Source organism: Homo sapiens, chromosome 1 (assembly GCF_000001405.40).
Source record: "Homo sapiens chromosome 1, GRCh38.p14 Primary Assembly".
NCBI lineage: Eukaryota > Metazoa > Chordata > Mammalia > Primates > Hominidae > Homo > Homo sapiens.
The window spans coordinates 149,625,018-149,651,436 of record NC_000001.11 but is presented as its reverse complement, the minus strand read 5'-3'; the positions used below and the strand labels follow the sequence as shown (position 1 = coordinate 149,651,436).

The 26,419-nt window shown below is 44.4% G+C and overlaps 1 long non-coding RNA gene and 1 other non-coding gene across 5 annotated transcripts in view, besides 2 other annotated features; both read right to left on the bottom strand.

Annotated features, from left to right (window-relative positions):
* Nucleotides 1-26,419, bottom strand: part of LINC00869 (long intergenic non-protein coding RNA 869) — a 72,512-nt gene that overhangs the window by 28,087 nt on the left and 18,006 nt on the right. Inside the window, exons 2-3 of one of the 4 annotated variants that reach the window (NR_111951.1) lie at nt 4,492-4,838; nt 3,769-4,056 (exon numbers count right to left, since the gene is read on the bottom strand). This is a non-coding gene — a long non-coding RNA (long intergenic non-protein coding RNA 869). Of the gene's footprint in view, nt 1-3,768; nt 4,839-26,419 lie in introns of those variants that run through there. The other 3 variants (NR_111953.1, NR_111950.1, NR_111952.1) reach the window with 3 other exon arrangements.
* Nucleotides 4,389-5,044: an enhancer, noted in NCBI's record as "H3K4me1 hESC enhancer chr1:144301087-144301742 (GRCh37/hg19 assembly coordinates)". NCBI's record gives its function as "activates a minimal SCP1, AML or CMV promoter by ChIP-STARR-seq in naive and primed H9 embryonic stem cells {active_cell/tissue: H9 hESC(naive and primed)}" and the evidence as "EXISTENCE:reporter gene assay evidence [ECO:0000049][PMID:30033119]".
* Nucleotides 14,424-14,677, bottom strand: RNVU1-30 (RNA, variant U1 small nuclear 30). The gene has a single exon (NR_189629.1). It is a non-coding gene; the product is annotated as an RNA, variant U1 small nuclear 30 (small nuclear RNA).
* Nucleotides 14,796-15,035: an enhancer, noted in NCBI's record as "active region_1652". NCBI's record gives its function as "activates an Ori minimal core promoter by ATAC-STARR-seq in GM12878 lymphoblastoid cells {active_cell/tissue: GM12878}" and the evidence as "EXISTENCE:reporter gene assay evidence [ECO:0000049][PMID:35858748]".

Sequence of the window (26,419 nt, the reverse complement as noted above, 5' to 3'; positions counted from 1 at the left end):
TTTAAGTACTAAACTGCAAGGTAGAGCAGACTTTATTGTGAATCCTGGAAGGGATCCAGAGCAGGCAGTTTGAGCTTATGAAGAATTTTAACTTTGTTTTGGATCAAATTTTGCTCTTTAATTTAGTCAAGAGAATTTTTTCCCTACACAAGACAGATAATATTGTCAAGAGAATTTTTAAGGGTAGCTATCACACTAGTATGTGCCTTTCTTTTAATTTGATCTTCCTATCAACTGTTTCAAATAAGAGATCTCTAATTTTTTTTTTTTAATTCAGGTGTCTAATTTAAGGGATCCATCTTCAGGCCATTGGCAACTAGAATATCCAATGGTATAATTATTCCAATAGCAATTCAACCAAATAGCCTCTTTGTGGAAAGCCCAGGATGTCATTTTCCAGGTTAACTTCCTGGGAAGGGCATAGAAGAGGCAATCCCAAAGACTCCCCTCCAAGAAAAAAGTTCAATGTAAGGAGTAGGCCACAGATGGTTAAGGATGATGTTTGCCTCCAGTAACCCACAAATTTGTGGAGGCTTCCAGTCACAGACCTGTGAATCTGTGATACGAGGTAGGCCCTCTTGGGACTGAGCTTTTCTAGGACTAATCAGGCAACAAGAGTTGAGACGGCAAAAGCCTCGAAGGGATGGGACTTCTTAAGACAAACCCCAAGAGCTTGACATAGTTAGAAGAAAAAGTGTACTCGGGTTTCCAGCCATTTTCAGACAGGCCACCTAATATGACCTCAAAATTACCACCTCTTACCCGATAGCGGAAACCAAGAGAAAGTGCTCCCACTTTGTCACAAGTCAAGCTCTCAAGGACATAAAATAAGATAAGAAGGAACCTCAACCAGTACCCCCTTTTATGACAGAATAACACGTAGAGACAAAGACAAAGGAACAGACATTTTCTGGGAAGAAAGGGATTAAACAATATGAATTGGTACCACAAAGTACCAAAAAAGCACACCAGAGTCACTACACCCAAGACTAGTCACACAAATCCTTTTCTCCCATTAATCAAGATTTTGGAGAGGGAAAAGAAACAGTGATTTTTACTGTGCACTTGATCAGATTCCACACAGAGAAGGAGGCTGGGAGCCTGGCTGGTAAAAAATTCTTACCCTTATGACAGCTGATCAGATCCTGGGTTCTTCACTGCAGCTTCCAGAAGAGCAGAGCTTTACTATCCTGCTTACAGCTCCAAAACTGTAGGGGCCAATGGAAACCCTCCCTCTTAACCCTCTGAAGTTTCACTCAAAAATCAACTCGCAAAAGGCAGATTAATTGGAGAAAAGGCATAAAATGTACTAACATGTACATGGGGAGGGCCACAGAGTGATTACCCTACGCTACCCACAATGGGATGCAGAAGCTTATACACCATCTCGAGGTAACAGAATGAATGAGGGCTCAAAGCATGGCCAAAACCAGGTACCATCAGAGTCAGATGTATATCCATTTATTGTGGGCAAGACAGGTTATAGGAGGGAGAGAAGAGGAGGCTTAGCTAGCAAAGGTGGTCTTAATATGTAAATGAAACCTTACAGGTAGCAGCTCTCAGAGACAGTAAACCCTAAAAGTTTCTTTCAGACCTTTACAGCTGTCAGACTCTCAGTTAATCTTTCCTAGATCTGGGCAAAGAAAGACTTGGCTGCATCAATGCAGATTCCCTACAGATGCAAATCTCCCCAACAAAATACAACTTTGCAGGGCTACTTCTGCAGCTGGCTTTCTGAACAGACATCTCAAAATGTGTCAAAGAAATGTATTTTGGGGTGAAATATTTTTAATTCCTTCACATCTACAGCCTGATGCACCTGCCGTTTCAACGCAACATTGTTGGTGGCAATTCCATTCTTCCCTACACTCAAGCCAAAAAAACAGATTCTCCTTGAGGCTAGTCTTTTTCTCAGAGCACACATACAATTTGTCAGAAAAATTACGTTTCCTGTTTGGGTTAATTACAGACTTTGATCTGCCCAATCTTTCTCTTTCTTGGTCTCTGAATTTTGGCAAAGGAGTCTCCGGTCTCCGGATACAGGCGGGATCGATTCTACAGACGAGTCTCAAAACCGTCAGACATTTAAGAGCCTTAATCTCGAGGTCAGGGTTTGGGCCGCCCTTGACACTTTTCTTTGGGCCTACGCGACAAAATCAGCCTGGCCAGGCCTGTTTTCAAGGCCCAGAGGCAGGGCCAGGTCCTCCCGACGCTTCTTGAAGCTTCTCCCGCGTGTCGGCAGCCACCCTCCCCTTCCCTGTGACCTGCAGAGAAGCTTCAGGGATCATTTATTCAATTTGCTAGGAGCCCGCGAGGCGCAGGTGCGCGGTGACTCTGTGGTTCCCACCGCACCCGCCGCCCTCCTTGGTCCTCTCGCTGTCTCCGGAGGGCAGTAACCTTACAGGTGAGCTTGGGCTCCGAAGACACTCAGCCAGGGAGGGACCGTTAGGGAAGGGCATCGGCCCCTTAGGTCCTTCGCAGTAGGGATCCGAAAAAGGTCTTGAAGAAATAGAACGGGAGAGTTAGAAGTAGATCAAAGGGAAAGAAAGAAATTCTAGATTTCCTATCTGAAGGCACCAGGAAGAGAAAGTCCGCCTCCTCTGGGCCGGGTCCTCACGTCGCTAGTGAACCGAGTTCCGACCTCCACTGGAGACCAAATCAGTTGACTTTGGCTGGACTCCTAGTGAAGAAGCCACGCTTTGTCTTCCCTTGTTTAGCTCTTGATCCTGAAGCACTTGATTGTCTCTCCCGGGCTTTCCATGGATTCCAGGGATGCAACTGAGAAGTTTGTTTTTAATGCACTTACTTGAAGTAAGAATATTTGAAAGTATTTTTGCAAAGACAAAGGTTTCCTTTTGTACTGAAGACATTCAGATGTGAGGAAAATCACTCAGCTAGGGAAAGCAAATGCTGTTGAGAATGTCTCACAAACACAAATTACACGTCAGCAGGTAGGTTTGACCCTCAGGTTGGGCACATTTTAAGTGCACTGTTGGTGGAATTTAAGATGAATCTAGGATGTTCATGATTAATATTTTTAGTTTTTTAGTAAAATTTAATATTTTAAATTTAAGTACACATTCTGAAAATTATATAACCACCGCAAGAAACCGGCTTTATGCCATTCTTACAAACACAGGAAAGAAAGATGATATTATAATGGCAATGCTTCATAAATGGTAACATTTTTAAAGTACCCAGAGAAAAAAAGTTAACCTAGAATTCTATGCAAAAATAAAATTTCAAAACTGTGAGTGAAATAAGGACATCGAAAAACATACAAAAGCTAAAACAATTCACCAACCCACGTTACAAGAAATCTTATTAAAAGTCCTCCAGGCAGAAGCAAAAGGATCCCAGATAAAAATCTGGACCTATACAAAAACAAATATTGGAAATGGCATTTAGAAAGCATGTACTACACATTTTCTTATAATTTAAATCTTTTTAAAAATATTTGACATAATAAATGAAAGTAATGATAATCACAAAACTTATAATGCATAAAGTAAAAATACGTAACACTAGGATAAAGGCCAGAAAGGGAGGTATAATTGCACTTGAAAGCAGAATGTGATAAATTAAAGATGTATCCCAGAAACCCTAAAGCTGCCACTGAAATAAGAGAAGGGTTATAGCTAATAAAGCAACAAAGGAAAGAAAACGGAATTAAATAAAAGCTATGTAAACACTATGCTGGAACAACTGCTCTCCAGGCCTCCACCCTATAGAAATACACCAGTGGCCAATGAGAAGTGTACAAGAATGATGACTGCAGCATCGTTTGTAATCATAAAATAATAGAACCAATGTAATTTTAAAGATACATGAAAAGGGTTTTATTTATTTAACAAACAGACAATTGAACAAACAAACAATGGAAGCAAGTCATTTGCCAAAAGGAACACAGAGGGTCATGATGATCTACTCCTCCAAGGATTTCAGGGTTCCCAGACGCCTAGTTTTCTGTCTAGTTCTGGAAGATGTTATTCTTGGGGAGCAATAGGTCCTCGAGTTTGGGGCTCTTTCAGGTTCTCTCTCCATTTCCCCATTCTGCTACAATAGATAAACAAACAAAAACAATTCTCACTTCCAGAAGATCCCGCCTGTACGTCTGCACGAGCCCTTCAGGAGGTCTGGATGTCTGGTTCATAACTCCCCTGCTTCTTTTCCAGCTTTTGCTTTTCCCTTCCCCCGCTCCCGCCCTACCGCCCCACGACCCGACCACCGCCCAGCTGAGCCCCAGAGGCTCCACAGCGCAGAAGGTGCACCGGAGGCCGTGTCAGTTGCCCGCCCCGCGGGGTGCCGAGAAATCAACGCTTTGTAAAAAGAACTTCCCCGTGGAAAAAAATCTCTTGATTTCCACTCTCACCTCTCTTCAAAGGACTAAAAGCTAAAGGCGACAAAGGATTCATTCGACAAGTCCTAGTCGTGCGCCCTTGTGAGTGCCAGACCCTGCTCCCTGCCAGGGGACCCACGAGCGACCCTCACCACCATCCCTGCCCTGGTGGAGCCCCGGGCGGAACACAGGATCCGAAGATGGCAGCGGAAGCTCCGCAGCAGCCCAACAGCGACTGGGCAGGGTGGATACAGGCTCCTTCACTGGGTGAAGGCGGCACAAAGAACCGGAAGAACCATCCCGGGAGCCCACCGGGCGTTCAGCTTCCCTTGGGACCCCAGGCGTCTCGGGCTGGGTCGCCGACCGGGGAGTTTCTGGGGTCTCTCCCTCTGGCTCCAGAATCTCCTAACGCGCAGGTGTCCAACGTGACCAGCGCGATTCACCGCTCTAATATCTCTGGTTTTCCAAGGACTTGCTCAGTCGTCCTGCCAGGCGGGCCCTGGGAATAGAAGGGACGGAGGAAGTTTAGTGAGTGCGCCCTTCCTATATGGCCCAGTGGAGTTAGCAGTGCTTGTCTCTGTGGTGCAATCGGTTAGCGCGTTCCGCTGTTAACCGAAAGCTTGGTGGTTCGAGCCCACCCAGGGATGCTTATTGGAACTTTTAAAGCATGCACGTACTGTCAATCACTACATAAATGGGGAAGAATTAGCCACTAATTTATGACTGATCCATGTCAAGGGCCAGCCAGCTCCCCGACCAGATTCTTAACCGGGTATCTCCTGAAACGGCGGGTTTACACCTGTGTAACTCAGGAATCCTGAAACAGAGACCTAGGAACCCACTTCTGGTGTGATAAAATTCTAATTCAGTCGATTATACGCTTAAATGAGTAACTTACTTGTCTCCGTTTTTTCATATTTTAGTAATAGGAGTCCAGTAGTATCTCCAGGATGTGCCTGGATTTACTGATTGCTCTATCAATAATGTGACCAGTGGAATCATTCATCATCATAGTGATCCTCTCCATCATTTTTGAAAACAGTATTTTTCCTCAGTTTGTGCATTATTTATTTAACCCTTTTCAAAATGTTTTTGTTAGCCAGGCGTGGTGGCACACACCTGTAATCCCAGCTAATCGGGAGGCTGAGGCAGGAGAATCATTTGAACTTGGGAGGTGGAGGCTGCAGTGAGCTGAGATCACTACACTCCAGCCTGGGCAACAGAGTGTGACTCCATCTCAAAAAAAAAAAATGTCTTTGAGATGAGGTTGGTTTCATGGTTTTAGGATTACAAAGAATGCTGCAGTCACCATTCTTGTACACATATCTTTGGTCATTGTGGAAATGTCTACACCGCAGATATTTCTATAGTGTAGAGAACTGGATGCACCATTGCTACATTGTAGTGTTTATATAATGCTTCTAATTTGAGTACATTCTGCAAATGTATCTTTCACGGGAGCAATACCAAATAGTATTCCAATATCAATATTTATAAGAGGAAAAATGTGCAGAAGTGCAATTGAGCTTCGTGCCTCTCCATGGGGCCCATGTTCATAAAATGGTGGCATTAGCAATCATCTGAGAGTGGAGTTTGTGGCCCTCTGACATCAAAAGCTGAAGCAGAGGACATGAAAACCCTCACAGTACATCCTCTGTAGTCTGGCCAGAATCATTCCTAGGTCAGTGGTCTCTTATCAGGAGGGAATGCTGCTTGCTTGTTTTGTCAAAACCACAAAAGGGAGGGAAAGTTTCAGGCCATTGGTTGATAACAGTGGAGAGGCAAGTCTTTCCAAAGGGCTGGTTTGTTAACCCTTAGGAAAAAAAATCCTAATTCTTACCAGATGGTTCCATGAAGTTCCAGGCTTTTGGTGTCCCAAACAAAGAACTGTACATGACACACATAAAGCAGCAAAGCAAAGCAAAAGTTTATTAAGCACAGTAACACTCTCAGAGTGGGGAGAGTCTGGGAGATGAGATCAGTATTAGTTTGGTGTACTTTGGGTCTTTTTATGTGTGTTTTTTTCTTCTCTTCACAGGGATGCCTAATCTTTAGCCAGTGTTTGCCTTTTGATTGACAGGTGGGTTGCTTAGTTACTTTGGCCCTTGTGTGCTTGCACGTTGCCTCCATCCCATACTTTTAAGTACATGCATGATATGTAGTCCATATGCATGAGTTTTAATGAGCTGATTATCATATGAAGTCATGTTAAGCATACTTTTTCTCTCTAATGCACATGCCTGTCTCTGAGGAGCTGCTCCTTTACTGGTTTGGATCTTGCAGGCCATGGAGTCCTTGCTTGCTGTTTTTTGTTTTTTTGTTTGTTTTGTTTTTTGTTTGTTTTGTTTGTTTTTGTTTGTTTTGTTTTGTTTTGTTTTGTTTTGTTTTGAGACAGAGTCTGTCTCTGTTGCCCAGTCTGGAGTGCAGTGGCACAATCTCGGCTACCTACAACCTTCTCCTCCCGGGTTCAAGTGATTCTCCCACTTCAGCCTCCCAAGTAGTTGGGACCACATGCGCACACCACCAACCCCGGCTGATTTTTTTGTATTTTAAGTAGAGATGGGGTTTTACCATATTGGCCAGGCTGGTCTCAAACTCCTGACCTCAGGTGATCCACCCACTTTGGCATCCCAAAGTCCTGGGATTACAGGTTTGAGCCACCAAGCCTGATCCAAAAAAGATTTTTTAAAATTATTCTTTTAGGCCAGGCGAGGTGGCTCACGCCTGTAATCCCAGCACTTTGGGAGGCCGAGGTGGGCTGATCATGAGGTCAGGAGTTTGAGACTAGCCTGGCCAACATGGTGAAACCCCATCTCTACTAAAAATACAAAAATTACCCGGGCATGGTGTCTGGTGCCTGTAATCCCAGCTACTCGGGATGCTGAGGCAGGAGAATCGCTTGAAACCAGAAGGTGGAGGTTGCAGTGAGCAGAGATTGCACCACTGCACTTCAGCCCGGGCAAAAGAGCAAAACTCTGTCTCACAAAATAAAATAAATAAAATAAAATAAAATATAAAATAAAATAAAATAAAATAAATAAAATAAACAATAAAATAAAAATTATTCTTTTAGCCGGGCGTGGTGGCTCACGCCTGTAATCCCGGCACTTTGGGAGGCCCAAGAGGGTGGATCATGAGGTCAAGAGATAGAGACCATCCTGGACAACTTGGTGAAACCCCTTCTCTACTAAAAATACAAAAATTAGCCGGGCGTGGAGGCGGGCGCATGTAATCCCAGCTACTCAGGAGGCTGAGGCAGGAGAATCGCTGGAATCCGGGAGGCGGAGGCTGCAGTGAGCCGAGATGACGCCACTGTACTCCAGCCTGGCAAAAGAGCGAGACTCGTCTGAAACAAACAAAAATATTCTTTTAAACTTGTGTCATGGCCGGGCGCGGTGGCTCACGCCTGTAATCCCAGCACTTTGGGAGGCCGAGGCAGGCAGATCATGAGGTCAGGAGATCCAGATCATCCTGGCTAACACGGTGAAACACCGTCTCTACTAAAAATACAAAAAATTAGCCGGGCGTGGTGGCGGGTGCCTGTAGTCCCAGCTACTAGGGAGGCTGAGGCAGGACAATGGCTAAACCCGGGAAGCAGAGCTTGTAGTGAGCCGAGATGTCGCCACTGCACTCCAGCCTGGGCGACAGAGCAAGACTCCGTCTCAGAAAGAAAAAAAGAAAGAAAGAAAGAAAGAAAAATGAGGAAGCTACTGATAGTCCAGTATGGTATACTGTGACAGATTGAAAAAAAAAGTGGTTATATTTTGCAGCTTCTCTCATCAAGAGAGTCTATTTCTCCTCTCTTTGAATCTTGGATTGGCTATATGACTTGCTTTGGGCAAATGTTGGTGCCTTCGCAAACCTGGCAGAAGAGAGGCTTGCACATGGGAGGATTACCTGCTTTTTTCTTCACTTGAAATCCTGAGGCCATGATCTGAAGATCCCCCAAAGCTAGCCTGCTAGAGAGATCACATGAAGAAAAAGATCCATGCATCCCACTTTTTCCAACCAATCCACCTATACCCCAGATGTGTGAGGCCATCCTAGACCATCCAGCCCCAAATGAACCAGCTTGGACTAGAAGAATTTCCAAGCCAACTCACAGAATCACTAAAAATAATAAATTATTGTTATTCTTTTTTTATTTTTTAAGAGATGAGATCTCAGTCTGTAGCCCAGGCTGGAGTGCAGTGGCATGATCTCGGCTCACTGCAACCTCGGCCTCCCGGGTTCATGCCATTCTCCTGCCTCAGCCTCCCTAGTAGCTGGGACTACAGGCGCCCGCCACCACGCCTGGCTAATTTTTGTATTTTTAGTAGAGACGGGGTTTCACCGTGTTAGCCAGGATCGTCTCAATCTCCTGACCTCGTGACCTGCCCGCCTTGGCCTCCCAAAGTGCTGGGATTACAGGTGTGAGCCACCACGCCCAGCCAATTATTGTTATTCTAAGTCAATAAGCTTGGGATGGTTTATTATACAGCAGAAGTGTATCAAAAGGGTGATGGTAGTTGCAGGAAATAAATATATACCTTTAATTGTATATGCATAAACATCTTTGGAATGATACCTCCAAAATACAAATTCCCATATTGAAAGAGCACACTCAGTACCCAGCATGGTGGATGGAAATAGATCATGAAGTTTCAAACTAATAGGAAGAAGTAGAAGATTCTATAGGCTTTTGGGAGGGGATATGGGAGAAGAGTTTAAGGCAAATAACAAAGAATCAGAACGGCATCCATCTTCTCTATGGTGCTGATGTGCTCCAGTGTATAACCATCAGGAACAAACCTATAGTCAAACCTGAGTATATTGGCTCATTGCAACACAGGAGACAGCAAACACTATGGGGAAATTGTGGGACAATTCTTCCTTTGGGAATCTCGGTATTTTTATCTAGAAAGTGGGAGAAGTGGTTGAAAGACTAAACACATAATTGGTAAAGAATCAACAGTCAATACAAAAGTTAGCCAAGCATGGTTGGGCATGCCTGTAATCCCAGCTACTTGAGAGGCTGAGGGAAGAGAATCACTTGAACGCAGGAGGTGGAGGTTGCAGTGAGCTGAGATGATGCCCCTGCACTCCAGCCTGGGCAACAGAGACTGTCTCAAAAAAAAAAAAAAAAAAAAAAACTGGCCTGGTGCAGTGGCTCACGCCTATAATCCCAACACTTTGGGAAGCTGAGCGGGGCGGGGGTGGATCACAAGGTCAGGAGTTCCAGACCAGCCTGGCCAATATGGTGAAACCCAGTCTCTACTAAAAATACAAAAATTAGCTGGGTGTGGTGGCAGGTGCCTGTAGTCTCAGCTACTCGGAAGGTTGAGGCAGGAGAATTGCTTGAACCCAGGAGGCAGAGGTTGCAGTGAGCTGAGATTGTGCCACTGCACTCCAGTCTGGTGACAGAGCAAGACTCCATCACAAAAAAATAAAAAATAAAATAATTAACCGTCACTATTAGTAGCTGGGATGTTTGATCATATTATGGTTTGAACAGTGTTCTTTTTATGCTCAAATATGATTGTGAAATAGTATTTCTTTCAGTTTAGTGAGAGGGTAACTTTGTCTGATATTGGTGTTGTGAAATTTTTAGTTTTAACCATAGAACACCATGGCCTAGGTGTTTGTCAGACCAGCTCTAGCTCACAGCAGAAAAGGCTTACCTTTTTCTTTCTCAGAAATGACTATGGAAAACAGTAAACAACAAGGGCCGGGAGCCATGGCTCAGGCCTGTAATCCCAGCACTTTGCAGAGCCAAGGGAGGCGGATCACTTGAGGTCAGGAGTTTGAAACTGTAGCAGGAGTCATAGACAAAATCCCTCAGACACCCGATTGTGGAAGGTAAGAGCTTTTTTCAGCTGGGACCATCGGTAGACTCACATCCTAGAAGCTGAGCTCCCCAAATAAGTAATTCTTGTCCCTTTTAAGGGCCCACAACTCTAAAGGGGCTGTGTTGGGGGGGTCATGATCAACTGAGCAAGCGAGGGGTACGTGACTGGGGGCTGCATGTACTGGTAATCAGAATGAAACGGGACAGAAAAGGGAATTTCATAATGCTTTTTTATACAATGTCTGGAATTTATAGACAGCACAATTGGTGAGGTCAGCGGTTGAATTTTAACAACCAGGCCCGAAATGTGGCACCCAGTTGTCTGAGCGTGATTTTCACTTCTGCCCATTCTTTCAACCTCCACTTTTTCAGCAAACAAGAAATTAAGTGTAAGACAATATGAGGAGTGGTCGCTCTCAAAACCAGCTTGGCCAACATGGTGAAACCCCATCTCTACTAAAAATAAAAAAATTAGCTGGGCATGGTGGAGGCACCTGTAGTCCCAGCTACTGGGCAGGCTGAGGCAGGAGAATCGCTTGAACCTGGGAGGTGGAGATTGCAGTGAGCCAAGATCCCACCACCGCACTCCAGCCTGGGCGACAGAGCGAGGCGAGACTCTGTCACAAAAAAAAAAACAGTGCCTTCAAAAATCTCAGAGAGAAATTATTTCCACCTATCTTTTTGTATCTCTATCTAGTAAAATATCAATTAATTTTATGGGTATAAAAGACATTTTCAGACATGCAGTGTCTCAAAAAGTTTATTTCTAAGGTAACCACTTTATAGGAGGTTTTGGAGGATATGCATCATCAAAAGGAAGAAGTGAGTGAGGAATGAACCCCCTTGAGATCCATGAAGCAGGGGATCTAACAAGAGAGAGGCGATGGAAATCCCAAGATGGTGCAGTAAAGAGAGATATTATGATAACAGCTGTGGGATAAGCCTGAAGAGCAAGTCATCCAGAATGGAACATATAGAAATGTGCCAGGAAAAATTTCTTTCTTTCTTTCTTTTTTATTTTTTATTTATTTTTATTTTTTGAGAAGGAGTCTCGTTCTTTTGCCCAGGCTGGAGTGCAATGGCGTGATCTCGGCTCACTGCAACCTCTGCCTCCCGGGTTCAAGTGATTCTCCTGCCTCAGCTTCCCAAGTAGCTGGGAGTACAGGCGCCCGCCACCATGCCTGACTAATTTTTATATTTTTATTAAAGACGGAGTTTCACCACGCTGGCCAGGCTGGTCTCGAACTCCTGACCTCAGGTGATCCACCTGCCTGGGCCTCTCAAAGTGCTGGGATTACAGGCGTGAGCCACCGTGCCCGGCTGCTCTTTTTTATAGACGAAGAAATTGAGGTACAGAAAATCCAGTAACGTTTTAAATTCACGTCATGAATGAACCAAGATTTCAACCCAGAAATTGAGGCTTCACCACAAGTGAAGACTGGGGTTTTCTTGTTTTCAATTATTGGGAGTTTTGGATTTCCAGGAATGTGCAATTGTAAAAACCCAGCTTCAGGAGGTGATGAAATAGGTGCAGTGGCTCTGGCGTAAGCTCTGAAGCCCCAGGCTCAGGCTCTATTGAAAAATTACTTTTGCTGAAATATTCCTGTTTTTAGGAACTTCCATGGAACTTGAGCCTTCACGCAGCATATTTTGGCATCTGATTCAAAGCTAATAGAGGTCCGGAGGATTCCCAGGATTAAAGTCTTTAAACAGAAAGTGTGAATCTTGCCTAAGCAAAAGGTGCCATCCCTGGATGGGCTTGCACCACCAACCTTTCAGTTAACAGTCAAACGCGCTAACCGATTGCACCACAGAGACTCTAATGGCTTGTGTCTTAAACTCACTTGCTGATACCAGAAATGGCTTTTTAACCTCTGGCTGCAGATAATCTCATATATTTGATGCCTGTCCAATCCCGCGCACTCCAGAAACCCAGAATACGGGAGACAATGAAGCCAAGAGTCGAGTCTTTGGGCACTTTGGACGTTCTACCCGGGCAGAGTCAGCTGGGGGACTCCAACGGCCAAAGGGCCACCTGCTCCTCACCGTCTGCTCTTCACTGCTTCCCCCGCCTGCTCTTCACCGTCTCAAAAGTCGCCGGCCCCTCTACAGGTGACAACTGCAGCTTCTCCGGCGAAAGTCACTCGCTTTCCCATTCTTAGCCCCGCTCACACCTTGCGCTCACAGTCATTTCCGCCAGGCCTGGGCCAGCGGATGCGCGCGTGGGAAGGACCAGAACCCGTGGTGTCCTCACTGCGTCCCCCTCGGGCCCTCAGAGGTGGGATCCACAGGAAAGGGACCTGGAGTTTGCACAGGCTGCAGCCCTTCGCCCAGAGCCACCCTAGCACCTAGTAGGTGCCCAATAAATGCTCGGTGAAGGAAGGCATTCCACCGCAGGGTTTAAGGAGAACCGTGAATTCCTGGGTGAACATTAAGAGTTTAGTCCTACTAGGAAGTCTGGAATATAGAGACTTGAACTGTTTCTCAAAGGCAGCTGTTCTTGTATCCCCAGAGCCGGTTTAGAATCCAGCAAAGGCCCCTGCCCGGTGGATCCCACCTCTGGAGACCCAAGGATAGTGCGGTGGGGGGCACCGCGGGTTCTGGTCTTTCCCACGCTCACATCCACTGGCCCAGCCCCAAAGGAAATGGCTGTGAGAGCAAGATGTGAAGATAGTTACAAATACCAGCTAGGGCCAGTGACAGTTGCAGAAATGAGGACTTATAATAGTTAGGAGTATTTCTTCATTATTTTGAGATGAATACATTTAGTTATATATTAACCAATACTTTTCTTGAGAATTCTCATCTTCCATCATCCTCGCTATCATATTCATTAATAATTAACTTTTAGAAATCTCAATATTTAGGTTACAGGATAGCAAATATGGAATGTGATCTAGCTAAAAAAGGAGTGAACATCATTCAAAGACAAAAGACTTTATCCTGTTGGGGAAAGGGTTGGCATATTTTCACTGAATGAGAAAAAGTATGATTTTCCTATTGTCTTTATTTGAACCTTAAGTATGGCTTTACAAGGAGGAAAAAGGAGGAAGAAGAAGAGAAAGAAGAGGATGAGGAAGAGGAGGAAAAGAGAAGGAGGAGGAGGAAGGTGCACATTGATGCCACTTTGAGAAGAAGTGGACTGTGGTGGATTTGTAATGTATCAGTTTTGCCAAGCTGAATGCACATTTCCCAGATTTGCCATCTTTAGATAGCTCTAGGTTAGCCTGGGCAACAGGAGACACTTGGAAGATAGAATTCAAGTGGCTGTTACACGCTTTTGTATACTGGGAAGGGCGTTGTTACAGCTCAGGCATGATCTTCATCTTCCCTGACCCTTGGACTGGTGGGTGTTTTGCTTCTTGATCTAACATTAAGGTTAGAAGTTGCAGGATTCCAGCCGGGTTTTGTTACATCCAATCTGGTTTAAGTTCCCATATTATTAGGAAAGCTTTAGGGTGCTTCAGGAAAACGCTTTTTAAAAAATCAAATTTGGAAAATATCAAATGGAATTACAGGCAATAAGCATAACCCAGTGGAAACATGAATCAAACCCTCTAGAGCAGGGTTGTCTAAATTTTGGCTTCCTTGGGCCACACTGGGAAAAAAAAAAAAAAAGACATTTGTCTTGGGCCAAACATAATATACACTAACTGCAACTGAACCGTGCGTGTAAAGCTTGTAAACAAAATCTGTCTGTAAAGTCTGTAAACAGGCCAGGCGCGGTGGCTCAGGCCTGTAATCCCAACATTTTGGGTGGCCGAGGCGGGCGGATAACTTGAGGTCAGGAGTTTAAGACCAGCCTGGCCAACATGGTAAAACCCTGTCTCTACCAAAAATTCAAAAAATTAGCCGGGCCTAATTTTTTAGTGGCCTGCGCTTGTAATCTCAGTTACTTAGGAGATCGAGTATTCTCTGGCTGAGGCAGGAGAATAGCTTGAAGGCAGGAGGCAGAGGTTGCAGTAAGCCGGGATCCCGCCATGCACTCCAGTGGACTGTTTGCTGTTAATAAATGTTTACAATGGGCTCCCGTAGGGAAAAGAAAAGCTTAGTTTTATTTCTATAGAACAAAAAAAAAAGCTAAGAGATTAGTAGAGACGGGTCCACCATATTTGACCACACTGACATCAAACTCCAGAGCTCGAGCGGTATTAACATAAAGTTATCAATGCATCTCACAGACTACTGAGATTACAAGCGTGAGAACCAACCACTACCTGGCAAAATCTTTACTTTGAAAGTAAGTTACAGATGGGAACAAAGACCTGTTTATTAGTTTATACTAACGCCTTATATATGCTTCCACAGCAAACAAAATCCACTTTTAGAACGACAACAACCCAGGGGAAAACACAGACACAGTTCCCCACTGCCACAAGTTATGTAATGGAGATTCCCACATTCGGGGAAATCACAGGGGTCAGCACATCCACAGCAAAATTGCTAAGCCTTGCTCTGGAAAAACCACCTTCGTGATCATAACATTTCTTCTGTCAGATAAACATAAGTATAAGCTCACGCCCCTCCGCCCCGCCGCAGCCTCATATTCCTCACCCTTTACACGCAAGGTCACTTGCCTCACGCGCATCCCGGAGCCATCCTAGCCCTAACACACAGCTGCGACTCTCCGTTCCGACCAGAGGTCCCAGACTTGCTCCCACGGCACGGGAACTCTTTCGTGGCGAAGCAGCAGGTGGCGAAGCAGCAGCCCCTGCGCTGCCTCATCTACATAGAAATCGCCCTCTCCGTGATGTCACCGACAACGCCTTCCGGATCCCCGTCTGCTCTTCCGCCTCACCCAACGCCCCTCAGCGGACCAACCCGCTGTCGGAGCCGGCGGGGGAAGTGACTTATGCCTGTCTCTTCTTTCTCTCCTGTCCCCGCCCCTCGTCTCCCGCAATGAAGCGGGTATTTAATCTGTGTCCTGTGGAGGTCCCATTTGGCGGCCAGCTGGAAGCCCGTGCACCCTTCTTCAAATAATGGCTTTCAATGAGCAGACTAGAACGTTTAGGATTACAAAGGAAACCGATTCCTTTCAAACCTGGTTATCTTTGTGATGTGGCACTGTGTGCATATCTTCGTTAAAACGCATTGAAGGCCACTGCACTCCACCCTGGGCGACAGGAGGTGACTGTGTCTCAAAAAAACCAAAAACACTCCCCCCTCACCCCAAAGCATTAGACGTCAAGGCTGGCAGGGATGTCTGTTCTCTTGAAAGTTCAATATCAAAATACTTGGAAATTAAACTAAAATAGTAGAAGCAAGAACAAAAATTAAGTTGAAGATAATATCAAGAATATTTCCCACAAACCAAAGTAAGAATGTAAAAACAGGAGAGAAAAGTTCAGGAAGATAGATGTCCAAGGTCCATATGATTAGCATGCGTATCAGAAAGAGGATAGAAAAAAATCAGTACAATAATTCAAAACACTTTCCATACCAATGGATTGAAACTACAGTGAATTTAAAGTATTGAATTGATATTGAACTTTCAAGAGAACAGACATCCCTGCCAGCCTTGATGTCTAATGCTTTGGGGTGAGGGGGGAGTGTTTTTGGTTTTTTTGAGACACAGTCACCTCCTGTCGCCCAGGGTGGAGTGCAGTGGCCTTTAATGCGTTTTAAGGAAGATATGCAAACAGTGCCACATCACAAAGATAACCAGGTTTGAAAGGAATCGGTTTCCTTTGCAATCCTAAATGTTCTAGTCTGCTCATTGAAAGCCATTATTTGAAGGAGGGTGCACGGGCTTCCAGCTGGCTGCCAAAGGGGACCTCCACAGGACACAGATTAAGTACCCGCTTCATTGTGGGAGACGAGGGGCGGGGACAGGAGGGAAAGAAGAGAGAGGCATAAGTCACTTCCCCGCTGGCTCTGGCAGAGGTTTGGTCCCCTGAGTGCTCCTTTCTTGTAAGCAGTTCTTGTTTCATATTTTCACTATCTCTGACACTATTAACTGTACGATTTTTTTTCTTCTGTACACAAAAAAAGTTTGTTTCAATAGTGAAGTATGAGTCAGGGTGGTGGCTCATGCCTATAATCCCAGCACTTTGGGAGGCCAAGGCGGGCAGTTCACCTGAGGTTAGGAGTTCAAGATCAGCCTGGCCAACATGGTGAAACCCTGTCTCTACTAAAAATACAAAAATTAGCCAGGTGTGGTGGTGGGCACCTGTAATCCCAGCTATTTGGGAGGCTGAGGCAGCAGAATTGCTTGAACGCAGGAGGCGGTGGTTGCAGTGAGCCGAGATTGCGCCACTGCACTCCAGCCTGGGCAACAGAGCAAGACTCCATCTCAAAAAAAAAAAAAAAAAAAAAAAGTGAAGTATGTATCTTCTACAGTATACTCTTCCAACTTATCAGATTCTGTCATTGACATACGATGTTGCATCAATACTTGTGTAAGGGGTTTAACACTACTACTATATATAATATATGTAATATATTTTATATATATATGTATATATATATATAACACTAAGGTTTATTAAAACAACTCTCAGTAAACAGATGCCCCTGATGTTCCAACAAAATAACCTACTATTATTAGAAACCAAATAAACTCCTCCTCCTATGAGGAAGAAAGTAAACAACTTCTGGCTTGGCGCGGTGGCTCACGCCTGTAATCCCAGCACTTTGGGAGGCTGAAGCGGGTGCTCATGATCACCTGAGTTTAGGAGTTCAAGACCAGCCTGGCCAACATGGTGAAACCCCGTCTCTGTTAAAAATACAAAAATTACAGCGCGCCTATAATCCCAGCTACTCGGGAGGCTGAGGCAGGAGAATCGCTTGAACCTGGGGGGCAGAGGTTGCAGTGAGCCGAGATCACCCCACTGCACTGCAGCCTGGGCAACAGAGCAAAACTCCGTCTAAAAAAAAAAAAAGTAAACAATTCTGGAACAGTTTGAAAAAGCAATTTAAGTGAAAATGAAACCAAAAAGGGTAAAAAGAAAAAGGAGGGTATAGTAGGAAATAACCTATATGTGATTATCTATTTTCAATTCTAAGTGGCTTGGTATAGGTTTAGGCAGGCTACCTGGAAAGAAAGAAATAAAGAAGCAGAATGTACTGAGCCACCCCCTCCACCTTCCTTCTTTCCCTTTCACCCAGTGGCCAGGCATCTATCGGTGGGGGCCCCCTCATCTACCCCTTCCCCACTCCACAAAGAAATTTAGTTTAAGCTAGCTTGCAACATAGATAATTGTACCCTTATCAGCTAAGTGCAGCCACTAGAGCCGTAAGTCAAATGTTTGAAAAATCCTGAGAGTCATAATGCATCGTGTGCTGCAATAAAATGCAGCAGAAAGACCCTAAATAATGTACTTGAAGAACAATCAATAGGTGATGTCTAGGAAGATTGTGGAAGGCTAGTACTCAGCCTATGAGGAACTGAGGGAGGGACCTGTGCACTAGGGCGTAAATTGCTTGTTGAAACTGTGCTGGGTGTGCCTGCATGCCAGACACACGATCTTGCAAGACCGTCATTAAAAGTCTCACTTTCGCTGTTCTCTGGGTCTCTGAGTTCATTGTTTGGGTTTAGACGGGTGAATTTGTTTCTCACAAATTTGATTGGATTGAAGGATGAAAGTATTGATCCTGGGCGTATCTGTGAGGGTGTTGCCAAAGGAGATTAACATTTGAGTCAATGGGCTGGGGAAAGCAGACCCACCCTAAATCTGGTGGGCACAATATAATCCACTGCCCATGAATATAAAGCAGGCAGAAAAACATGAAAAGGCAAGACTGGCCTATCCTGCCAGCCTACATCTTTCTCCTGTGCTGGATGCTTCCTGCCCTGGAACATCAGACTCCAAGTTCTTCAGTTTTGAGACTTGAACTGACTTTCCTGCTCCTTAAGCTTGCAGACAGCCTATTGCGGGACATTGTGATTGTGTAAGTTAATACTTAATAAACTCCTGGCTGGGTGTGGTGGTTCACACCTGTAATCCCAGCTCTCAGAGACGCAGAGGCGGGAGGATAGCTTGAGCCCAGGAGTTGGAGACCTGCCTGGGCAATATAGCAAGACCCTGTTTTCCACAAAAAGTAAGAAAAAAAAAGACAAAAAAAAAGTAAGTGTAATACTTAATAAACTCCTTTGTATATCTATCCTATTAATTCTGTCTCTCTAGAGAACCCTGACTAATACAGAGTCACATAAAAATATAAGCCTCAGGCCGGGCACAGTGGGTCACGCCTGTAATCCCAGCACTTTGGGAGGCCAAAGCAGGTGGATCCCGATCACCTGAGGTTAGGAGTTCGAGACCAGCCTGACCTACATGGAGAAACCCCGTCTCTACTAAAAATACACAATTAACCAGGTGTGGTGGCACATGCCTGTAATCCCAGCTACTCCGAAGGCTGAGGCAGGAGAATCACTTGAACCTGGCAGGCAGAGGTTGCGGCGAGCTGAGATCACGCCATTGCACTCCAGCCTGGGCAACAAAAGCAAAACTCTGTCTCAAAAAAAAAAAAAAGCCTCAAAGAAGGCCGTATGGTTGAAGTTTATATGCAGCACATAAAGGACTAACTAGGCTTGGAGTTCTTAGGGGGTGGTGGCCACAGGTTATGGGAGGTTGAGGGGAGGAAAGACATGGTGAGCAAAGGCTGTGTTGTGATGCAGATGTGATGCAGATGAAGTCTCTCAAGAAGCAGCCCTCCACCAGATGTGGTGGCTCATGCCTGTAATCCCAGCACTTTGGGAGGCTGAGGTGGGCAGATTACTTGAGGTCAGGAGTTCAAGACCAGCCTGGCCAACATGGCAAACCCCATGTCTACTAAAAATACAGGCCGGGCTCGGTGGCTCATGCCTGTAATCCCAGCACTTTGGGAGGCCAAGGCAGGTGGATCATGAGGTCAAGAGATCAAGACCATCCTGGCTAACACAGTGAAACCCCGTCTCTACTAAAAATACAAAAAAATTAGCCAGGCGTGGTGGCGGGCACCTGTAGTCCCAGCTACTAGGGAGGCTGAGGCAGGAGAATGGCATGAACCTGGGAGGCAGAGTTTGCAGTGAGCTGAGATGGCACCACTGCACTCCAGCCTGGGCGAAAGAGCAAGACTCTGTCTAAAATAAATAAATAAATAAGTAATAAATTAATTAATTAACCTGGTGTGGTGGTGGGCACCTGTAATCCCAGCTGCTCGGGAGGCTGAGGCATGAGAATGGCTTGAACCTGGGAGGCAGAGGTTGCAGTGAGCCAAGATTGCACCACTGCACACTCCAGCCTGGGTGTCAGAGTAAGACCCCGTTTCAAAAAAAAAAACTTTCTCTGTCAGACCTTTAAAAGCATGAGATCTTTTGTTTCCTTTTCCTGTGAGTTAATCTTACCTGGATCCAGATAAAGCAGATAAGAAGGTCTCAGAGAAAGCCATTTGCAGTTGATGTTTACTTCCTCTACACATGCTAATCTCCCTGACAAAAGGACAGCTTTTCATAGGTATTTCTGTGACTGTGTTGCCTATTGCACTGCCTACATGACTTACCTGGAACCCTACCCAGATGTTGTTGGCCATTGCAGTGCCTATGTGACATGGCTGAATTCTTACTCACCTTTAACTCTGCTTATTTTTAAGAAACAGGATGTCTGTGGTCAGAAGTTTCTTCTTGGGACTAAACCAGCTGAAGCTGGTGAAATCCATGATGGCAGCTTACGCAACCTCTGAAAAACATCTAGCTTTATTATAATCCAATTTCCATGCTAAATAGCACTCCCATCAGTGCATGACAGTTGACAATCACTGTGACAATGAACGGAAGAGACCAAGAAAGGACAGAAATGAGGTGACTCCTTGATTCTAGGAAAATCTCCATCCCTTCCTAAGAAAAGCATGAATATTCCTCACCTTGCTCATTCCCTTCCTTAAAGATCCTCTATATTTGTAACTTCCTGGTTCTCAGTAGCTGAGAAGGTGATTTGCAAGCTATACTACTTCTCCAATTCCATGCTATGCTCCTACTTCTCCAATGCCATTGAATAGAGCCTGCACTGCTTGACGCTCACTCTTGGTTTCATACATTGGCTTTGCAATAATAAACAGGAAAGAGTCCCTTTTTGGGGTGAGACCCCTCAGTAACATCTGCAGCCCCTCTAAATAGCCATCTCAAATTATACCAAAGGAGTGTATTTTGGGGTGGCATATTTTGGGCTTCCCACATGGCTAAGCCAACATATAGCATTCTTGCTGAATGCAGGGTGATCAGACATCACCTAGCAGATGGTGAAGGATGAGGAGCCCTATTAGATATTATGAGTGGTCAGCTATTGAAGATGGGGAATTCTGGCTAAATTGACTGAGAAGGATTCTTGCTGAGATTGAACAATGCAGAGACGAACACAGAAGCTCAATAGTTGAGGCCTAGTGAGAAGAGGACTCAGAAGAGCCTGATTAGTTTGGCCAAGGAGATGTCAACCTGAAATAATTGAAAGGTTCAGAATTCAGTGTTAAAATGTTTATTCATTCTGCTTGTGGGAACTAATGGTAAAAATTAAAAAAGAGTTTATTCAAACAAAAATCTGGGAATAGCCAATCAGGGCACACAGACTCCAGAGAAATGGGGTCAGTGCTGCAAAGTCAAAAGTGAAGTTCTTGCTTACATAGAAAGAAAGAAAAAAAATTAATAGGATCACAACATTTTCTATATAAGGCTGCTTTAAGAGTTACAACAAATTAATTAGTTGCAGAATTTTTTGTTTTTTGTTTTTTTTTTTGTTATTGTTGTTGTTCTGAGATGGAGTCTCACTCTGTTGCTAAGGCTGGAGTGCAATGGCATGATCTTGGCTCACTGCAACCTCTGCCTCTTGGTTTCAAGTGATTCTCCTGTCTCAGCCTCCTGAATATCTGGGATTACAGGTGCCCACCACCATGCCCAGGTAATTTTTTGTATTTTTACTAGAGATGGGATTTCACCATGTGAACCAGGCTGGTCTCAAACTCCTGACCTCAAGTGATCCACCCACCTCAGCCTCCCAAAGTGCTGGGATTACAGGCATGAGCCCCACTGTGCCCAACCTTTTTCTCTTTCCATACTACTTGTTTTCTTTCTTTATAGCTGGCTCACATTTCCTTTCCAATTTAAAGGAGTGTATTTAACATTGCATCTTAAGACAATGCAATAGCCATGAAGTCTTTATGAGAGCAAGGTAAGAAGGAAGTTAATCTATAATGAAAGTCAGCAGTGAAGAGGGAAGCAATCTTCCCTGGCACCCTTCAATAATTTATATAACATGTTAGAAAACAATGCGTGTGGCTGGGTGCAGTGGCTCATGCCTGTAATCCCAGCACTTTGGGAGGCTGAGGCAGGTGGATCATGAGGTCAGGAGATGGAGACCACCCTGGCTAACATGGTGAAATCCCGTCTCTACTAAAATACAAAAAATTACCTGGGCATGGTGGTGTGCGCCTATAGTCCCAGCTACTCGGGAGGCTGAGGCAGGAGAATGGCATGAACCCAGGAGGCCAAGGTTGCAGTGAGCCGAGATCATGCCACTGCACTCCAGCCTGGCCCACAGAGCAAGACTCCATCTCAAAAAACAAACAAACAAACAAACAAACAAACAAACAAAAAAAAACAACAATGTATGTAAGGAAGAAGGCCAATCTATAATCAGAGAAACAAAGGTTACAACTGCCTAGTTTACAGGTGCCTCTCATGTGACTTAGGCTCCATACCCACATTTTCTTTTTTCTTTTTTTTTTTTTTTGAGACAGAGTTTTGCTCTTGTTGCCCAGGCTGGAGTGCAATGGTGCAATCTCAGCTCACTGCAACCTCTGCCTCCCAGGTTCAAGTGATTCTCCTGCCTCAGCCTCCCAAGTAGCTGGGATTACAGGCATGCGCCACCACACCTGGTTAATTTTGTATTTTTAGTAGGGATGGGCTTTCTCCATGTTAGTCAGGCTGGTCTTGAACTCCTGATCTCAGGTGATCTGCCTGCCTTGGGCCTCCCGAAGTACTGGGATTACAGGTGTGAACCATGGTGCCTGGCCCATACTCACATTTTTTTAAGGCTCACAGTAATTTGGAATTCCAACAACTTACATTTTAAATTACTTATTTTCACAGAAAGAATCTTTGTCAGTTGTAACTCGCTTATTTCTCCAAAGACCATAGTCCTGTCCAGTGATCCTCCCCAAGACAATAGCTCTCTCTAGTAACTATAGTTTTCCTTTCCCATTTCAATTTCCACTCCAATTGACTGAATTGTGAACACCAACTCCCACACTTAAATGTTGAAGCCCTAACCCCCAGTGTGATGGTTTATGCAGCTGGGGCCTCTGAGAGGTAATCAGGTTTAAAAGAGGTTATGAGAGTGGGGTCCTCATGCTGAGATTAATGCCATTATAAGAAGAGACACTAGAAAGCTTGCTCATCCGCCTTCCCCATGGTGCACAAAGAAATGGTCACATGGGCACACAGTGAAACTACAGCCACTTACAGGCCGTAGGAAGAGATCTTAGAAAGAAATCCGCTTTGCTAGCACCTTTATCTTGGACTTCCCAACTTCTAGAAGTGTGAGAAACACATTTCTATAGTTTAAGCCACTTGGTATATGGTATTTTGTTATGGCAACCTGAACAGACTTATACAACAATTAAGTCCTAGAGGCAATACAACTTCTCTGCTGATTCCAGATCAGATTCTGAGCGCCTCTCAGTCCTTTGTTGGGTTATTTTGATCCTGTCCATATATTTAGAAATATTCTCTTCATAAAACTCTCTGTAGGCTGGGTGCAGTGGCTCATGCCTGCAATCCCAGCACTTTGGGAGGCCGAGGAGGGCAGATCATGAGGTCAAGAGATCGAGACCATCCTGGCCAACACAGTGAAACCCCGTCTCTACTAAAAATACAAAAAATTAGCCAGGTGTGGTGGCGGGCACCTGTAGTCCCAGCTACTCCAGAGGCTGAGGCAGGAGAATGGCATGAACCCAGGAGTCGGAGCTTGCAGTGAGCCGAGATCATGCCACTGCACTCCAGCCTGGGGGACAGAGCGAGACTCCATCTCAAAAAAGAAAAAAAACTCTCTTTAAATCACACATTCGAGTGTGCCCTTTGTTTCTCATCAAAGCCAAGACTGATTTGAGATGATTTCTTAAGGTCAGGTTAATGTCTTAATCCAGTTGTGCTGCTATAACAAAATACCACAGAGTGAGTAACTTATAAACAATAAAAATTTATTGCTCACAGTTGTGGAGGATGGTCAGTCTAAGATCAAGTTGCGAGCAGGTTCAGTGTCTAGTGAAGGCCCATTCCTCTGTCACCCAGGCTGAAGTGCAGTGTTGCAAGCTTGGGTCACTGCAACCTTCACCTCCCAGACTCAAGTAATCCTCCCACCTCAGCCTCCTGAGTAGCTGGGCCACAGGTGCTCACTACCATGCCTGGCTAATTTTTGTTTTGTTTTTTTTTTTTTTTGGTAGAAATGGGGTTTCACCATGTTTCCCAGGCTGGTCTCAAACTCTTGGACTCAGGCAATCTGTCAGCCTCCTGAAGGAGTGCTGGGATTACAGGCATGAGCCACCGTGCCCACCCCCCAAATTCTACTAATATATATGCATAATTAAATAGTTACCAGCCATCATTTTCTGATACTTTGGCAATTGGTTGAAAGAGTTTATCTAAAGACCTGGAATCCATAGAAGGCAGTCTCTGTGTTAAGGGGTTGTTCTTATTATGCAGATGAAGCCTCCAGATAGCAGGCTTCAGACAGAATTGATTGTAAATGTTTCTTATCAGACTTAAAAAGGTGCCTAGATTAGGGAAAAGACCTGGAAAGGGATTCCCTGTAGCATGTAGACTTTCCCCACAAGAGACAACTTTGTAGGGACATTTCAAAATATGATAACAAATATATTTTAGGGTAAAATATTTGTATTTCTTTCAGGGCCTGCTATCTGTCATGTAATGCTACACTAGAGTCAGGCTGGAATTTGGTGTCTTATTGCTACAAAAAGTCTTAAGATCTCTGTTGTAATGCCAGTTGTGCCTGGTCGGATGTGCTGGTCAGTTGTGCCTGAATTCCAAAGGAAGGAGGGTATAATGAGGCATATCTGACCCCTACTTCCCATCATGGTCTGAACCAGTTTTTCAGGTTAACTTTGGAATGACCCTGGCTGAGAGGAGGGGTGCATTCAAATAGTTGAGGGGCTTGGAATTTTATTTGTGGTTTACACTATAGAAAGTATTTTTCCAGTATTACCTGGACAATGTGTCTCCCTGTCAGTATCCAGGGGATGGCACCTGGATCAAGCATTTAGTGTTCAGTTGCTACACTCTCACCTAATCCCTCATTTTCAATATTTTGCCATGTTTTCCAGTGACCCAACTGGCCACCATGTCACAGACTTTATGGTCTCCAAGGGAGACCCCTCCATTTCATGTTTTGTGATTTGAGCAACAGACTGGAATCTACTTGAAATTTGCAAATGGTCTTTGACTTGGGCTTTCCAATTTTGCTCTACTTCACAGTGTTTTCTGGGTTATATACAAGGGAGATGATCCAGTCATTTGTTAAGCGCCTCAAATAAGAAATGCCCTAGATGTTTTTTTGTTTGTTTGTTTTGGGATGGGACATGGAATTTACACCTAAAATAATCAGCGTCTGAAAGGACGTCCCCTCTCTGGATATGGAAAAGGAAGAACTGCAGGAGTTGTATGCAGCTGCCTTGCAATCCCATGGGAAACAATGCTAGCTCACAGGAAGGTAAAGCTGACTGTTGAAAAGAAACCAAGTCCTTGAAGACATTGTTAGGCCCCAAACCAATCAACCCAGAAACCCATTTACCACTGAATCTAGAGTTAAATAAGCAAGAAAATCCCCTTTTATTTAATCCAGTCTGAGTTGGGTATTCTGTCATTAGCAAATGAAGGCATCCTGACATGTGGGAATGTCAAGACACACAAGCTCTTGTGCAGTTTTCCATGCATGGGGACAGTGCCCTGGCATTCCAGAAATCCTGGCTTACTTATCACCACGCTCTAATCAACTGCAAATAACATTTTAAATCTAAGTGCAAAGAGAATGATCAGGAATATCATAAAATCTGCATTTATTTAAAAAAAAAAGGAGCTTACAGTGAAGTAGTCTCAAGCAATTGCTTTTTTTTTTTTCTTTTTTTTCTTTTATTATTATACTTTAAGTTTTAGGGTACATGTCCACAATGTGCAGGTTAGTTACATATGTATACATGTGCCATGCTGGTGCGTTGCACCCACTAACTCGTCATCTAGCATTAGGTATATCTCCCAATGCTCTCCCTCCCCCCTCCCCCCACCCCACAACAGTCCCCAGAGTGTGATGTTCCCCTTCCTGTGTCCATGTGATCTCATTGTTCAATTCCCACCTATGAGTGAGAATATGTGGTGTTTGGTTTTTTGTTCTTGCGATAGTTTACTGAGAATGATGATTTCCAATTTCATCCACGTCCCTACAAAGGACATGAACTCATCATTTTTTATGGCTGCATAGTATTCCACGGGGTATATGTGCCACATTTTCTTAATCCAGTCTATCATTGTTGGACATTTGGGTTGGTTCCAAGTCTTTGCTATTGTGAATAGTGCCGCAATAAACATACGTGTGCATGTGTCTTTATAGCAGCATGATTTATAGTCCTTTGGGTATATACTTCGCAAAAGAAGACATTTATGCAGCCAAAAAACACATGAAAAAATGCTCATCATCACTGGCCATCAGAGAAATGCAAATCAAAACCACAATGAGATACCATCTCACACCGGTTGGAATGGCAATCATTAAAAAGTCAGGAAACAACAGGTTCTGGAGAGGATGTGGAGAAATAGGAACACTTTTACACTGTTGGTGGGACTGTAAACTAGTTCAACCATTGTGGAAGTCAGTGTGGCGATTCCTCAGGGATCTAGAACTAGAAATACCATTTGAGCCAGCCATCCCATTACTGGGTATATACCCAAAGGACTATAAAGCAACTGCTTTCTAAGTGGGATGGCTGAAGCAAGAGACCTTAAATCACTTGACCGTCTTCACAAAACAGAACTGAAGCAGAACCAGAAGTCCCCTGATAGCCTTTCAGGGACACCACCTACAAATACACCGTAATCCCTCATACTCCACACGCCACTTCAGGGAAAGGGACATGAGGCAGGAATACAAATATATACCATCTGTGACACTTCCTAAGCTCCTGGCTTCAGAGTAGCCATCCTGATAATTATTATTTAAAGTCCACATTATAAATGTGCAAGTTAAGTGAGTTATGGAAATCATTCCAGATACTGGTTC